Below are 16,849 nucleotides of genomic sequence, written 5' to 3' on the forward strand. Positions count from 1 at the left end.
GTGACAGAGCAAGACTCTGTCTAAAAAAAAAAAAAAAAAAAAAAAAAGCATCGGTGGGCTGGAGTCTAGTATCAATATTAATTGCAGAGTTTCTTAACCTAGAGTAGGGGAAGAGAAAGAAGGGGTCAGAGAAGGGGCATATAGATGAGTATCAAGAGTTCTGTGCATCAGGCCGGGCACAGTGGTTTATGCCTGTAATCCCAGAACTTTGGGAGGCTGAGGTGGATGGATCACGAGGTCAGGAGTTCGAGACCAGCCTGGCCAACATGGTGAAACCCCGTGTCTACTAAAAATACAAAAATTAGCTGGGCGTGGTGGTGCATGCCTGTAATCCCAGCTACTTAGGATGTTGAGGGAGGAGAATCATTTGAACCTGGGTGGCGGAGGTTGCAGTGAGCTGAGATCGTGCCACTGCACTCCAGCCTGGGCGACAGGGTGACACTCCATCTCAGAAGAGTTCTGTGAATCAGATACGCGCGCACACACACACACGCGCGCACATAGCTTTTCTTCCAGTTTTCTTTCTGTTACTTTGAAAGTCATCTTTGAAAAAAATTTGGTGTCAAATTATATGATTATGATATTGTTCCATTTCAAACAGTTGTGGAATGGTAATATACAAAGTTTATGGTTATGGTTGTGTCAATGCCTATATTAATTTCTCACTGATAAAAATTAAAGAAGATATGCCTTGCCTTAATACTCAAGGGAATCTGTCTTTGTTCATATCAAGTTTAGCTGAATTGGGAAGTATGAAGAGATAAAAGCATGACGCAACTGACGTATCCCTTGGTTTCGCTTTCCTCATTGAACATTATGGGACACTAAAGCCACAATGGTTCTGTGAATGCAAATCGCTCATCAATGGGTGCATAAAACAAACAAAACCAAAGAAGCAACTTCCATCTCAGCATCTTTCAGTGTGGGTGTGTTTCCTGAGACAAACCTTAAATTTGGAAAGGCTGGAACTCCACCTGATCTTACGTTTGCCCCAGCCCCAATGCCATATCTAGAAACATTCTACAACATTGTCACTCACATTGCCAAAAATGCAGAGTATCTGTACAACTGGGGATATCTTGAGGAAGACCAGTACCTTAGCAGTGATCAAGCTGGTTTATGACTTGGAGCAGAGAAATCAATAAAGTAGTGCCTCTCTCAGATAACCTCACCTACTCCAAAAGATGAACACTTATTTCTTTTTTTTTTTTTTGAGACGGAGTCTCACTCTGTTGCCCAGGCTGGAGTGCAGTGGCGCGATCTCGGCTCACTGCAAGCTCCGCCTCCCGGGTTCACGCCATTCTCCTGCCCCAGGCTCCCGAGTAGCTGTGACTACAGGCGCCTGCCACCACGCCCTGCTAATTTTTTTTTTTTTTTTTTTTTTGCATTTTTAGTAGAGACGGGGTTTCGCTGTGTTAGCCAGGATGGTCTCGATCTTCTGACCTCGTGATCCGCCCGTCTCGGCCTCCCAAAGTGCTGGGATTACAGGCGTGAGCCACCGCGCCCGGCCGATGAACACTTATTTCTTCGGGATATTTTAAAGCAAGAATTGTAGCGATTTCTCCTTCCTTCAGCTTGCAACTGCGTGCAACTGTCGACGCCTTTCAGTGCGGAGGTAGTACTCTTTATGTACTCTTCATCCACTATGTGCATTCTGACACCTTCAGAAGAAACATTTTCTTTTGGTGAGTCCCGTTGGAAACATCATGCCTGAAAAGTTTATTTTCTTCAGACACAACTTTAACTGGGAAAAATGTCTGGGTATGGATGACAGCATCTGGCATGCCTTACAACACATATGGCTTCCTTGTTTTAATGGAGACGCTGCGTGCTTCATTACTTTCTACACTGGCATGGGGACTCGGCCAAAATCCTGAAGGGAGCCTTGTCTCGTGCCCTAAAAGCTGGCCTTTTGAGGAGTTTTTGCTACCGAATGGATGCAGAATATCGTGTTCTTCCTGTTTACATACAAGTATGCTGCCTTTCCAGGAAACAATTCCCCCAAGCTCTTGATTGAACCTGGGGCAGAATTTTCACCTTTATGAGAGTATGAAAAGCTCCTTTGCAGTTCCCCACCCTGTGTCCAAGTGTTCTCATTGTTCAGTTCCCACCTATGAATGAGAACATGCAGTGTTTGGTTTTCTGTCCTTGCGATAGTTTGCTCAGAATGATGGTTTCCAGCTTCATCCATGTCCCTACAAAGGACATGAACTTTTTTTTTTTTTTTATGGCTGCATAGGGAAGGGGCAGGGATAGTATTAGGAGGAATACCTAATGTAAATTACTAGTTAATGGATGCAGCACACCAACATGGCACATGTATACATATGTAACAAACCTGCATGTTGTGCACATGTACCCTAGAACTTAAAGTATAATAATAATAATAAGAAGAAGAAGAAGAAGAAGAAGAAGAAGAAGAAGAAGAAGAAGAAGAAGAAGAAAAGCTCCTTTGCAGAACAATTTGGCAGGAAATTCTTTTACCACTGGACTTACTTGGAAGAAATTATTGTTCACCAGAATGAAGCCAATATTTCCATGCAAGGTCCTTCAGTTACTATTATGGTCAGTGCAGAAAAATCGTGAGCTTTTTTTGGCAAAAATGTTAACCTGCAGTGGTTAAGTCTCTGCTCTGAACTGCTGTGTGAACCAAAATCTTACCCTGCAGGGGGATAACTCTGCAAACTTCTCAAGGCTGAATGAAAGCGATTCTGCAGATTGGAGCCAAAAATGACAGCCTTATAAATTTCATGGCGCACCAAATCTGAAAACACCTTGAAACACTGATGAAGTCACTTGAAGGTTACTTACACTCAGATCATCTTCAAATTTAATGATAGATTCATAAACTCTTCCCTCGTTGACCCAGCCTCATTAACTTAAGGACAAAAGAAAACAGGCGACATGAATTTAATTTACCAAGTCTTGGAGGATTTGGTGTTTATTGACATAGCCCCACTCTAACTTGGCAAAGCAAGCAATGGGAATGTTAATTTTGTCTTTTCCTGTGCATTTTGGGGGTTCAGGGTTTTTGACCCTTAGTGCCATTTAACGGAAAATTTAAAATTGATTTGGGATTGATATCAAAGACTACTTCACAAAGCCAACTTTTGATTCAAGCCAAGAAATTATAGTATTTTCATTAAAATGTGATTTTGAGAAGAAGAAAATTTTAAACATTTGTTTTATTTGCAATTTTGGATTGACCCCCTTTACCATTTAAATAGGCCTTAACTCTTAGAATAAGTTATAAAATAATTAGATCAGGAGTTTTTTTTTTTTTTTAAGACAGCTTTTAACTTATATTGATATACAAGACATACATTTCAAATGTAAAACAAATTAAATGCAAAAGTTTTGGTGTGTGTATTTTTGTGTGTTTTTCTGAGAAGGAGGAGCATAGCTTTCTTCAGGTTTTCAAAGAAACCTCGGATGCTCATACCGGAAAGAACTGTAGCATATGGCCAGGTTGGCTACTCTGACTTCGGTTCTACTGGTTCCAATTACTCCCAATCATAGGTTTAGGCTGTTGAGTTCTCGTCAGGCTGTTACACCTCAGCCAACTCCCCTTTTGAAAACAAAAACCCAGGAAGGTTAATCAGTCCAGTCCCTGGTCCTTAAGTTAATCAGTACAGCATTGAAGTTATGCATGAATTTCCCAAAGGTAAACAGATTTCTATTTAAATGTTATTGCTCTCATTAGCATCAGCAGTTTTCATTATAAATGTGCTGAGATGTTCTTTTCTAATCTAGTTTATAAATTATGCTTATTACTTTCAGATGTTGAAAAGAAATCATTTTTTTTTTTTTTTTGGTTCCCAGTGTCCTTTTCCCTCACGCTTTTATTTACTCTGCTCCCTCGTGATGAGCAGTATTTCTATTACAGCCTTCACTACCTTTCTCAATGGCCTATTTCCCCCGAGTTCCTCTGATTCCCTGCTATTATAAATCCTCCTTTTTCTCCTTCTACTCTGAGTGTTCTTTCTTTGACTCACACTAATAATTGTAGTTACACATTTATTTTATTGTTACCTTCCATCTATGGCAAGAAATGCTGGTTTTCAATTACATTGGCTATATCATGTGTCCTATTTAGAAATGCATTTAAATTAAAAAGTGAGTTGATTTAAAGCAGGGATCAACAAACTTTTTCTGTAGAGGACTGAATGGTAAATAATTTTGGCAAAAAATTCAACAGATAATTACAGGGAACAGATAATGACAGTGGGTGTGAGAGTGACCTCAGAGTGCCAACAGATATGTGTGTGTGTGTGTGTGTGTGTGTGTGTGTGTGTGTGTGTGTGCAGGACCAAGGGAGCTGTGTTGGCCCTGAAAAAACTTGCCCTTTTCTATCCACTCTAGATTATCCACCAATACATTATGATACACTTTATGTTAGCCTTTGCCATTTTACAGATGAGGAAACAGGCTAAAGGGCTGGGCAGGGTGGCTTGTATCTGTAATCCCAGCTATTTCGGAGGCCAAGGTGAGCAGATCACTTGAGGTCAGGAATTTGAGACCAGACTGGCCAACATGGCGAAACCCCATCTCTACCAAGAAACAAAAATTAGCTGGACGTGGTGGTGCATGCCTGTAATCCTGCTGCTTTGGAGGCTGAGGCACAAGAATCGCTTGAACCTGGAGGTTGCAGTGAGCAGAGATCACGCCACTGCACTCTAGACTGGGCGACAGAGTGAGACACAGTCTCAAAAAAAAAAAAAAGGGCTAAAGTATTGCTGAAGGTCACAGAACTAGTAGGTGGAAGAAGTGAGATTTGAGCCAGATACTCTGACCCCAAGACCCATGTGCTTCACCAATGTGCTTCCCTTGCCCCAATTATGTTGACTAAGGAATTGACTCTTCCCCTTAGGAGGTCTCAGTATAACAGAAACCAGTTCAGTCTTTAGAAAGTTGTCAACCTATGGACATGTGCTTGGCATCCTCCCTCTTACAATTTCCCTGCAAAGGTGAGCAATGCAAGCCCCGTACATGGAAGAGCTTGGCCTCTTCCCTTGTATCAGGGAATGGACTGAGAGCCTGCTTGCCGATAGTCAACTCCAGGTGTCTGTGCAGATGGGCAGGCAACTTATTTGTCCATTGTCTGCTATTGCTGTAATGATAAGGGATGTCTGCTTATGGGACAAAGCAACCACAATAATATCAACAAATAATAACAATTACGCCACACTTGTATGATTCACCAGATGTCAGACACTCTCCTAAGCACTTTGCATGTGTTGCATGTATAATCAATCCTCATTTGACACCCTCTGATGTCAATTGACACCCTCTGAGCTGGGGTATTAATGTCCCAGGGCTACTGTAACAAATGACCACAAACTGTGTGGCTTAAGACCACAGAAATCTATTCTTTCATAATTCTGGAAGCTAGAAGTCTAAGGTCAAGGTGTTGGCAGGACCATATTTCCCTCCAAAGCCTTAAGGGAAGAATCTTTCCTTGCATATTCCAGATTCTCGTGGTTACTGGCATTCCCTGGCTTGCAGATGAATCTCTCCATTCTCTGCTGTGGCCTCATGTGGCCTTCCTGATGTATCTGTCTCTGCGTCTCCAAATCTCTTCTTCCTCATAGGGACACCAGTCATTAGATTTAGGGGTCTCCCTAATTCTGCATGACCTATTCTTCACTTGATTACATCTGCAAAGACTCTATTTCCAAATAAGGTCACATTCACAGGTACCACGGGTTGAGACTTTAACATATCTTTTTTTTTTGGGGGGGGTACAATTTAACCCACAACATGTGGGTACTGTTATTATTTCCATTTTACAAATGGGAACTCAAAGGGACTGAGAGGTTAGGAATTTGTCCAAGGTCACACAGCTTTATCAGCAGACTCAGGATTTAAACTCAGGTATTCTGGAAGTCTCTGCTCTTAACCACTGTGTGAACAACTGCTTTGCCTGCAGAACTGCCTGGCCCTCCCAAAGCACCTGGCATTGACAAACGCCAATTGAATTAGCTGAACGTGAATGTCTAACGCATGTGTGGCCATGTCAGTGGTGGCTCCCAGGAGCCTGAGGACAGGTGAGGGACTTGGCAGAGCGTGAGGATTCTCATTCGTCTGAACAGGGAACCGGTCTCTCCGTGCGGCTGGGTGGGCACATGACCAACTCCGGCTGCCACCTGGGTAATTGGTTTCCTGTGTTCCCTTCAATAATGAACAATATTAAAGGAGGCTGGAGATGCAATGGAGATAGAAGCATTGTGGAAGAAACAAAGAGATTTTAATGTGTTGAGTCTTGGGTCCAGGGAAGATGAGGGACATGATAATCGAGTATTAAAACAGAAAAGATTATGCAGCGGGCCTGGCACCATTCATCATCACTCCCATCCTCGGCTGGCGGGAGAACTGGGCGTCTGACGAGACTCCGGCATTATCTCCGCAGTTTATTTACATCTCAAATCAGGTTGCACTCACAGGAGAGAGGAATTCCAAGGATGAAATGTAACTACATGATATATTTCCTACAGAAAGTGCAAACACAATACAGACTATCTGGTTAAATATATCAACCCAAAACGACCCAGCTGCCAAATGCTTGAGTTTGCATTTTATATTTCTTGCTGTGAGACCATTATATACCCTCTGAGACCACCTGCCTCTTCTGTCTTCTATTTTTCGGACTGCTTCCCCACCACCTTTTCTTCTACCCCACTCCTTAAACTTCCTTCTCTCTTCACATCTGTCTAGACAACTTCACCTTCTTCATGGCTTTAAATGCTGGCTGTGTGCTGATGGCTTCCAAGTTGTACCTTCCTAGGCACACAGCTCTTTTTTTCCTTTCTCAGTTATTTAAAATCTTTTTGAATGGGCACTGCATTTTCATAGTTAAAAATCCAGATAGTATAAACAGTTAGTAAAAATTCTCTCTCTTCGTTGTCTTGTATATGCCTAGTTTCTGTCCTCATGAGAGATTATTGCACTTAATTTTGCGTTTCTTTCCTTTCCTTTCCCCCAGCCCCTTTCATTTCCTTTCTTAACAAAGTCTTGCTCTGTCACCCAGGCTAGAATGCAGTGGTGCAGTCATAGCTCACTGCAGCCTCCAAATCCCGGGCTCAAGTGATCGTCCTGCCTCAGCTTGCCAAAGTGCTAGCATTATGGGTGAGAGCCACCACGCCTGGCACTCTTGGTTTCTTATGACTCATTCCAGAAGTTCTTTACACGTATGCAAAAAGATTGATATATAAATTGTAATTTTTCCTCATTTTCCTTCAAATGTATCATATTACACACAAATTCTACACTTTGCTTTTTTCACTTTAGATCTTTCTGTGATAGCATATAGAGAATATCTTCGTTCTTCTTTTTCTTCTTAAAATTTGTAATTGCACAATGTTCTATTGTCTGGATGTCCCATCATTTACTTAACCAGTTTCCTATTGATAGGCATGTGAGCTGTTTCCAGTTGCTTGTCATGTTGGATAATTTTATGTGTCACCTTGACTGGGCCACAGGCTGCCCAGATGTTTGGTTATATTATTTCTGGGTGTGTTTGACATGAGGGTGTTTCTGGATGAGATTAACATTTGAATTGATCGACTGAATCAATCAAGCAAACTGTCTTCTACTGTGGGTGCCCCTCATCAAATCTATTGAAGGCCTGAATAAAATAAAAGGCTAAGTAAGGCTCTTTCTCTGCCTGTCTTTGAGCTGAGACATCAGTCTTATTTTGCCTTCAGACATGGACTTGGATAGAACTTACTGCATCGGTTCTCTTGGGTCTGGACTTCTCAGCTTCCATAATTGTGTGAGCCATTTCCTTATATTCTCTTTCTCTCTGTCCCTTTCTCTCTCTCCTCTTCAAACACACACTCACATATATATGCATGTACTTATACATACACATTTGTATTAGTCAGGGTTCTCTAGAGAAACAGAACCAACAGGGTGTGTGTGTGTGTGTGTGTGTGTGTGTGTCCTGTTGGTCTGTTTCTCTCGAGGACCCTGACTAATACACTTGCATTACAAATGATGTTGTAATGAGTAATTTCGTGCAAATACAATTCACAGTTGTGCATGTATATCCTTAGGATAAATTCTCCAAAGTGGAATTTTTGGAATAAAGGATATGTACATTCATAATTTCACTGGAGTGCCAAATTGCTCTTCAGAGTGATTATATGAAATTAAATCCTCACCAGCAATGTAGAAGCATTCCTGTTTCCCCACAGCCCTTATCAACAAAATGTGTTACCAAACGTTTGGGTTTTTTCCAATTTGATAGGTGAGAAATGTTATCCAGGTAGTCAATTTGCATTTCTTATATTATGAGTGAGGTTGAACATCTTTTTCTATATTTAAGAGCTGTTTTTGTCCTTTTCTGTGAACTGAGTGATCATATTCTTTGTCCCTTTTTTGATGTGGGTTTTTCTCTAGGGCCAAGCTCTAGATTTGAACATCTGACACTCTACTTGGATATCCTAGATGTGCCTCAAATTTACCATAGCCCCAAAGAGAACAAATCATCGCCTCTTTCCTTGCCTTAGCCCAGGACCTTCTTGTATTTTCCTAGCTTGGGTAATGAGACCCAGCCCAGAAATTTCCAAGCTATTCTAGATTCTTCTCTTTTTCATTTGGTCAAGCAGCACTATAAAAATACCTGATCTAGTTCCTTGACAGGGAGAGGTAATCTGGGTGTAAGTTTGTTTTGCAACTATAGATGAGAGGCAACAGTGAAGAAGAAAGTACCCCTGCCTCTGAGCCACAGGATGTTATGAGAAAAACCTGGTACTGTATGAAAAAATGTCCCCCCAAACTGGGAAGGAGCCAAGAGACCAAAGAATGACTCGGACCAGTCCAGCTTGATGAGTAGATGAGTTTATTGGGACTTACATACAGGGTACTCCTGGGTGGCGGCAAGACAGCTCCAGAGACCCACCCGCCTCCTGTCTGTAAGCTGCTATTAAGCTACCTGTTTTGGCTCTTTACCTATTGCATACAATGAGACTTTCTCTTGGTATAATCCCAGATATGCTGTGGGATGTTTGGGTTGTCAGGGACACCTGCTCGTTGGCTGGGTGCTATGACCTTGGCCCACTGCCCAGCCTTTAGGGTTCCACCAGCAGACACACACCGTTAAGTAATCTCACGAGGATCAATCACTGTATACTTACAAAGAACAAGAAGCCCATGAAACTTGGGCATTACTACTCCAAAGAGGCTGGCTCACCTAAAGAGGGTGGATGCATGGACTTGTGAAGAATACTCTCCATCTTACACCAACAAGATGAGCTCCAGACAGGTAGAGCTAGTCCCAGTATAGAAGGTTAGCCAAATTCAGAGGGGGGTGAGAGAGAGAGGAGAGAGAGAGAGAGAGCGAGCCGGTGGGGGGGTGGTGGGGTGGGGAGGGGGTTGCGGGGAGAGAGAGAGAGAGAGACAGAGAGACTTTAAGAAAGATTGTGTCTGAGTGTGGTGGCTCACACCTGCAATCCCAGGAGGCCAAGGTGGGCGGATCACTTGAATCACTTGAGTCCAGGAGTTCAAGACCAGCCTGGACCACAAAGTGAGACCCCATCTCTACAAAAAGATAAAAAATTACCTGAGCATGATGCTGTGCTCCTGTAGTCCCAGCCACCCCAGAGGCTGAGTTGGGATGATTGCTTGAGCCCAGGAGGTTGGGGCTGCAGTGAGCTATGATCATGCCACTACCATTGCACGCTGGCCTGGGTGACAGTGAGACGCTGTCTCAAAAAAAAAAAAAAAAAAAGAAAGAATGATTGTGTCTTTCTCACCTTTAAGTCCTTACGTTCCTTCAATGCTGGATTATGGGATGGGCCAGCCAGGCCGCTGCATGCAATGTTCGCTTATAAAGGACATTAAAATATGTCTATGATGCTAAAAAGTTCCGGAAATGTGATGAGAGGAGAACATTTTACCCATGGGAACACTCTGGGAGACTACCAAATGCAGCTGGAAAGAATCCAACTCTCACATCTTTGGGACAGGGAATGGGAACCTCTCCTTTCTTTGCAGAAGGGGGTATGATCTTAGTAGAATCACAGGTGGCTGCTAATTGGCCTTGTAAGGGGCCTTATTGATTTTGGGGCTTTGGTTTTGCTGACTGGGGCATGCAGTCGGATCAGAGAGGAATTGCTGAGGATGCATAGGAGAGGCTGTGCATTGTCAACACACACCCATCGTCTCTCCCTTTCCCCTGATAGGCCCAGTGTCTTCCTAAATACATGTTGAAAAAAATACTTAGACCTTAGAAGTTTGAAGGTCTTCACCTTATTACCCCTCATCAGGCTCTGGTCCTGTGTCTCTTTCTTTCTTCAAAGTTGGGGAATTAGAGGCCTGCTTTGTGCTGCTACAGGTCAACCAAAGGGGGTCTGGGTCTATTGCCATAGTTATTTCTCAATGCACCCTTTTCTAGGATGTCTAACAGGTAAGGAGATATCCAAGGGAAAGCGAGTGGTGGGGCAAAGACTTCTTAGAGCAGGACAACAGTACACCCTTAGGGAGAAGGAGAAGAAAATTAGAGGAGGAAGGTATAATCTCTGGCTGGGCCTCCTCATTTTGGGAATCATCATGATCTTGACTGATTTGTCCAGGATTCTGAGAAAAGGAGCCTGTGTGTTGTTGTTACAGGATACAAGTCATGGCCCATTGTTATGGACAGAACTGTGTCCTTCCTAAATTTATATGTTGAAGCCTTAACCCCCAGTTTGACTGTATTTGGATATAGGTCATTTAGGGAGGTAATTAAGGTTAAACGAGGTCATAAGGGTGGGGCCCTAATCTAATAGGACTGATGTCCTTAGAAGAAGAAGCATAGATACTAGAGAGCACCTCTTCCCCTCCCTCTTTGTGTAAGCACAGAGAAAAGACAATGTGAGGATACAGTGGGAAGTCAGCTGTCTGCAAACCAGGAAGAAAGGGCTCACTAGAAACCAACCCTGAGCTGGGCATGGTGGTTCATGCCTGTAATCCCAGCACTTTGGGAGGCCAAGGTGGGAGGGCCACTTGGGCTCAGGAGTTCGAGACCAGCCTGGGCAACATAGCGAGATCCTATCTCTTAATAAATAAATCAGTCAATCTTGTATGTATGTATTTATGAAATTATAGAAACCAACCCTGGCACCTTGATCATGGACTTTTAACCTCCAGAAGGTGAGAAAATAAATGTCTGTTTTTGTTTTTTGTTTTTTGTTTTTTTTTCTGAGACAGAGTCTCGCTCTGTCACCCAGGCTGGGGTACAGTGGTGCGATCTTGGCTAACTGCAACCTCCACCTCCCGAGTTTAAGTGATTCTCCTACCTCAGCCTCCTGAGTAGCTGGGACTACAGGCATACGCCACCACGCCTGGCTAATTTTTTTTTGTATTTTTAGTAGAGATGGGGTTTCACCATGTTGGCTAGGCTGGTCTTGAACTCCTGACCTCAAATGATCCACCCAGCTTAGCCTCCCAAAGTGCTGAGATTACAGGCGTGAGCCACTGCACCTGGCTAACAAATGTCTGTTTTTAAAGCCACGCAGTCTGTACTATTTTCTTTTAGCAGCCTAAGCAGACTAATACACCCACATCTTTGTTTCAAATTCATTTTAATTACATATGTAAGAGATGCTTTCATTCTCCCTGTAAAAAAAAAAAAAAAAAAAATTAAACATGAGAGGCTTCACACCTCTCCTCTTGGTTCTCCAGACCAGGAGTTGGAAAACTACTGCAGGCCCAATCTGGCTCGCTGTCTTTATTGAAATAAAGTTTTATTAAAACACAGCTCATTCATTTGTATATTATCTGTGGCTGCATTCACACTCCAAAGGAATTGCTGATTAGTCATGACAGAGCCCCTAAGGCCTGCAGAGCCTAAAATATTTACTATCTGGCTTTTTACAAAAGAGGTTTACCAACCACTCTCCTAGATAATCTCGAGAAACAAGCACTGTTGCCAGTTTGATGTGAATTGTTTCAGCTTATAAAGCTCTGTATTGATGTATGTGTGTGACATTAATGTATTATATATTTTTGCACATTTTTCTTTTACTTGTTGTCTAGTTGACAAATAAAAATTGTAAATGTTGACCATGTGTGGTGGCTCACGCCTGTAGTCCCAGCACTTTACGAGGCCAAGGTGGGAGGACAGCTTGAGTTCAGGAGTTTCAGACCAGCCTGGGCAACATGGTGAGACCTTGTCTCTACAAAAAATACAAAAAGTAGCTGGGCATGGTGGCATGTGCCTGTGGTGCCAGCTACTCAGGAGGCTGAGTCTGGAGAATCGCTTAAGCCCAGGAGTTCAAAGCTGCAGTGAGTGATGATTGTGCCACTGCACTCTAGCCTGGGCGACAGAGAGAGACCTTGTCACAGAAAAAAAATTGTATGTTTATGGTGTACAGTGTGATGTTTTGATATATGTATACATTGTGGGATGGCTAAATCAACCTAATTAACATATTTACCACCTCACAGACTTATTTTTTTTTGTTGTGAGAACATTTAAAATCTATTCTTAGCCTGGGCGTGGTGGCTTACACCTGTAATCCCAGCACTTTGGGAGGCCAAGGCAGGCAGATCACCTGAGGTCAGGAGATAGAGACCATCCTGGCTAACATGGTGAAACCCCATTTCTACTAAAAATACAAAAAATTAGCAGGGTGTCGTGGTGCACCTGTAGTCCCAGCTACTCAGGAGGCTGAGGCAGAAGAATCACTTGAACCAAGGAGGCTGAGGTTGCAGTGAGCCGAGATCACACCACTGCACTCCAGCCTGGGCAACAGAGTGAGACTCTGTCTCAAAAAAAAAAATCTACTCTTAGCAATTTTCAAGTATACAATACATTATTATTATTATTATTATTAATTATTATTATTATTACTTTGGACAGAGTCTTGCTCTGTTGCCCAGGCTGGAGTGCAGTGGTACCATCTCAGCTCACTGCAACCTCCCCCTCCCCAGTTCAAGTGATTCTCATGTCTCAGCCTCCCAAGTAGCTGGGATTACAGGCGCACGCCACTATACCAGGCTAAGTTTTGTATTTTTTGTAGAGATGAGGTTTCACCATGTTGGCCAGGCTGCTCTCGAACTCCTGAACTCAAGCTATCTGCCCACCTCGGCCTCCTAAAGGGCTAGGATTACAGCCGTGAGTCACTACACCTTGCTTACAATACGTTATTATTAACTATAGTCACCATGCTATGCAATGGATCTCCTGAACTTATTCCTAACTGAAGCTTTGTACCCTTTGACCTACATCTGCCCATCGCTTTCCCCTCCCCTTGCCCCTGACAATCACCATTCTCGATTTTTCTTACGCAATAGTAAATCTTGGAGATTTGTCCATGTTAGTAGACATACATCTACCTCGTGGTTTTAACTCCTGCATAATATTCAAAGTATGAACGTGCCACAGTTTATTCTGTAACTCCACTAATGGACATTTTGGTTATTTCTACTGTGTTTTCCTCTATAATAAGCAGTACTACAACAAATATCCTTCTATATACCTCCTTATGCACATGTGTGAGTGATTCTCTATGGTTGATACCAAGACTGAAATTTCTGGGCCATGAGGCAGGCCCATGTTAAAATTAAGTTCTCCTTTTTGAATAGGTCACACATTTAGTTAATTCAAAAATAAAAAATGATATGCAAGATATATGTCACAAAGTCTTTCCCCCATCTTTTTCCTAATCTATTTTCCCTTCTCTCACCCCTGTAGATATTAATTTGTTGTGTATACCTCCACAGTTCCTTTATGAAAACAAAGCAAAGAAGAACATGTATTCCTATTTTCTCTTCTTTCTTACACAAAAGATACCATACTATATATATATATATATATATATATATATATATATTCTTCTTTATTTCACTTTTTTTCACTTGATAATATATCTTGGAGCTCTTCCCATAACCATAAATCTTCTATAACTATAGAGAGTGTATACTCATGCTATTTTTTTTTTTTTTTTTTGGAGACAGAGTCTTGCTCTGTGGCCCAGGCTGGAGTGCAGTGGCACAATCTCAGCTCACTGCAACCTCTGCCTCCTGGGTTCAAGTGATTCTATTGCCTCAGCCTCCTGAGTGGCTGGGATTACAGGCACGTGCCACCACGCCTGGCTAATTTTTGTACTTTTAGTAGAGATGGGGTTTCACCATGTTGGCCAGGCTGGTCTTGAACTCCTGACCTCAAGTGATCCACCTGCCTTGGCCTCCCAAAGTGCTGGGATTACAGGTGTGAGCCACAGCACCCGGCTAACTCATGCCTTTTTACATAGTATTTAATTTACATAGTATTTCTTTACATAGATGTGCTATAATTTTTTTAACTAGTCTCTTATAGATCACTTTTCCCTGATCTTTTGCTACTACAAACAAGACATAAGCATTTTATTATTTTTTAAAATTTTTGTAGATTTAGGCTTTGAGATGTTTTATTCATTCATTTAGTTATCCAAGTATGTATGTCTGTACTAAATATTTGCTAAGGTCTTGTGTGGTGGCATTATCTTAGGCACTGCTGATAACAGGATTCACAGAACAGGCACAGCCTTTCTTCTCACAATGCTTAAGATCTTGTTAGGACAACAGACCTTGGAAAGAAAACACAATCGTAATGTATTTCCATAATGAATATGAACCTCTGTTAACCCATCCAAGATTTTTTTTTTCCCTCGTGATCGCACATTTTGTGGAGGAAATGTATAATTATGCTTGTGAGACAGAGAAAAACTAACTGGGCCATGAGGACCTGAATCCATTGCCTCCGTAATTATTACAGAGACAGGCACATTTTAAATTTCAATAGACATAGCCATGCTGCCTTTCAAAGGGGTTGTGCAGTTTACATGTCCACCTGGGTGGATTTTATTTTTAAAAGCTTTTTATTTATACTTATTTAATTTAAAAAATTATTTATTTATTTAGAGACAGGATCTCACTTTGTCACTCATGCTGGAGTGCAGTGACGTGAGATCGTAGCTCATTGTAGCCTTGAATTCCTGGGCTTAAGGGATTCTCTTGCCTCAGCCTCCCTGTAGCTGGGCCTACAGGCACACCTCACCATGCTTAGCTAATTTTTTATGTTTTGTAGAGATGGGGATGTCTTGCTATGTTGCCCAGGCTGGTCCTAAACTCCTGGCCTCAAGCGATCCTCTCACCTCGGCCTCCCAAAGTGTTGGGATTACAGGCATGAGCCACAACAGCTGGCCTTGGGTGGATTTTTAAAGGAGCCAAAATAGAACAGACACTGGCACCTTCTGCTTTAGCCAGATAAAACTCCTGTGGTTCCCAGAACAGGACGCACGTCGTCAAGTGTTCTTGCAACAGCAAGAGAACACTCTTGATGGAAACCCCCCTTTCTACAGTTTGTCTGTCTAGCTAACATCTTCCTCTAAGCTACACCATGAAAATCTGTGGCACCATCTCCAACCCCTGTAGGTAGAGTTGATCACCCCTCCTCTGTATCACCACTGACATTTGCCCATATCTCTATTTTTGTACTTGTTCCTAGTTCGTTTTCTTTCCCGGCCTCGTCTCACTTCCTTCATTGTGGACTTCTTGAAGGAAGAGACCATATCTTTATTTACCTTTGTATTCCTAAAGCCTAAGACAGTGCCTGTTTCCGAATAGCTGCTTCATCATGTTGGCTAATGAATAAATTAACAAATAAATGATCACTGAAAATGGAGATGAAACCACCAAATTGAATTTGGACAATGAATCCTGGGGTGTGTTTATCCACTAGTTTGCCAATCATGCAGATGAGCTTATCTGCGTCTGCTGATGGGATTTCGGCATAATTTGCATGCTAGAGGAGGAGGCTGCCAATTCACAGAGGATTCTTCTAGGCATTTGTCATTCATTATAGAACATAAGCTTGCATTGGAGTCTATGCAGCACAGCATCAGCCAATTAGAGGAGATTGTAGCTTTGGAAACAAACATCTGCTTGATGCTGGGTAAATAATATTTAGAGTCTGGTGTTTTATGCCTGTCCATGTGATTAATTTGAATCCTGTATAATTTTGTATTTGATCATGTGGGACTCACAGAGATCATTTCTATTACCTAAGTTACAAAAGCCATATCTGGCATTTCCCAGGATTGGTCCCATGTTTTAGGAGAGGCTTTCTGGTTTGGGTCACACCTGGGACTGGAGGTAAGTGTCTATACAGTGGTAGCCAACTTCCATAAAGGAAAATAGAGAAGGACGTCTGTCTCCAAATTCTATCCTGGATAACACTTCTGTAGAAAATTCAGGAGTATTGGGAAAACGTGAATGTCTTTTCTTAGCTGTTGCTAATTGGTTCTCCTCTTTCCAGGGGTAAGGAGGTTAAAAGAAATGTAGTGAGTTGAGTACCATTTATAAAGTTCCTACTCCATGGCAGTTCTTCCCCAGATGCTTTTCTTACATTTTCCCCATTTGAAACTCTTTTTTTTTTGGATGGAGTCTTGCTCTTGTTGCCCAGGCTGGAGTGCAATGACGTGATCTTGGCTCACTGCAACCCATGCCTCCCAGGTTCAAGTGATTCTCCTGCCTCAGCCTTCTGAGTAGCTGAGATTACAGGTCCTGGCCACCATGCCCAGCTGTTTTTTTTTTTTATTTTATTTTATTTATTTTTAGTAGCAATGGGGTTTCACCATGTTGGCTAGGCTGGTCTTGAACTCCTGACCTCAGGTGATCCACCCACCTTGACCTCCCAAAGTGCTGGGATTGCAGGCATGAGCCACTGTGCCCAGCCCCATTTGAAACTTATATTACTGTGGGGTCAGTAGAATTCTTTCCAGTTTTACAAACAACAAACAGGGTTGAAAGAACATATCCTGGGCCCCCAGCTAGCAGGCAGCAGTGCTGGGAGTTAAAGCCAATCTGCTACAGTCTCTGCTCC

The 16,849-nt window shown here is 42.3% G+C and overlaps 1 annotated feature.

Moving 5' to 3' along the window:
* Positions 6,093–6,615: an enhancer, noted in NCBI's record as "H3K4me1 hESC enhancer chr16:22635639-22636161 (GRCh37/hg19 assembly coordinates)". NCBI's record gives its function as "activates a minimal SCP1, AML or CMV promoter by ChIP-STARR-seq in primed H9 embryonic stem cells {active_cell/tissue: H9 hESC(primed)}" and the evidence as "EXISTENCE:reporter gene assay evidence [ECO:0000049][PMID:30033119]".

The sequence above is a fragment of the Homo sapiens genome, chromosome 16 (genome assembly GCF_000001405.40).
Source record: "Homo sapiens chromosome 16, GRCh38.p14 Primary Assembly".
Lineage (NCBI taxonomy): Eukaryota > Metazoa > Chordata > Mammalia > Primates > Hominidae > Homo > Homo sapiens.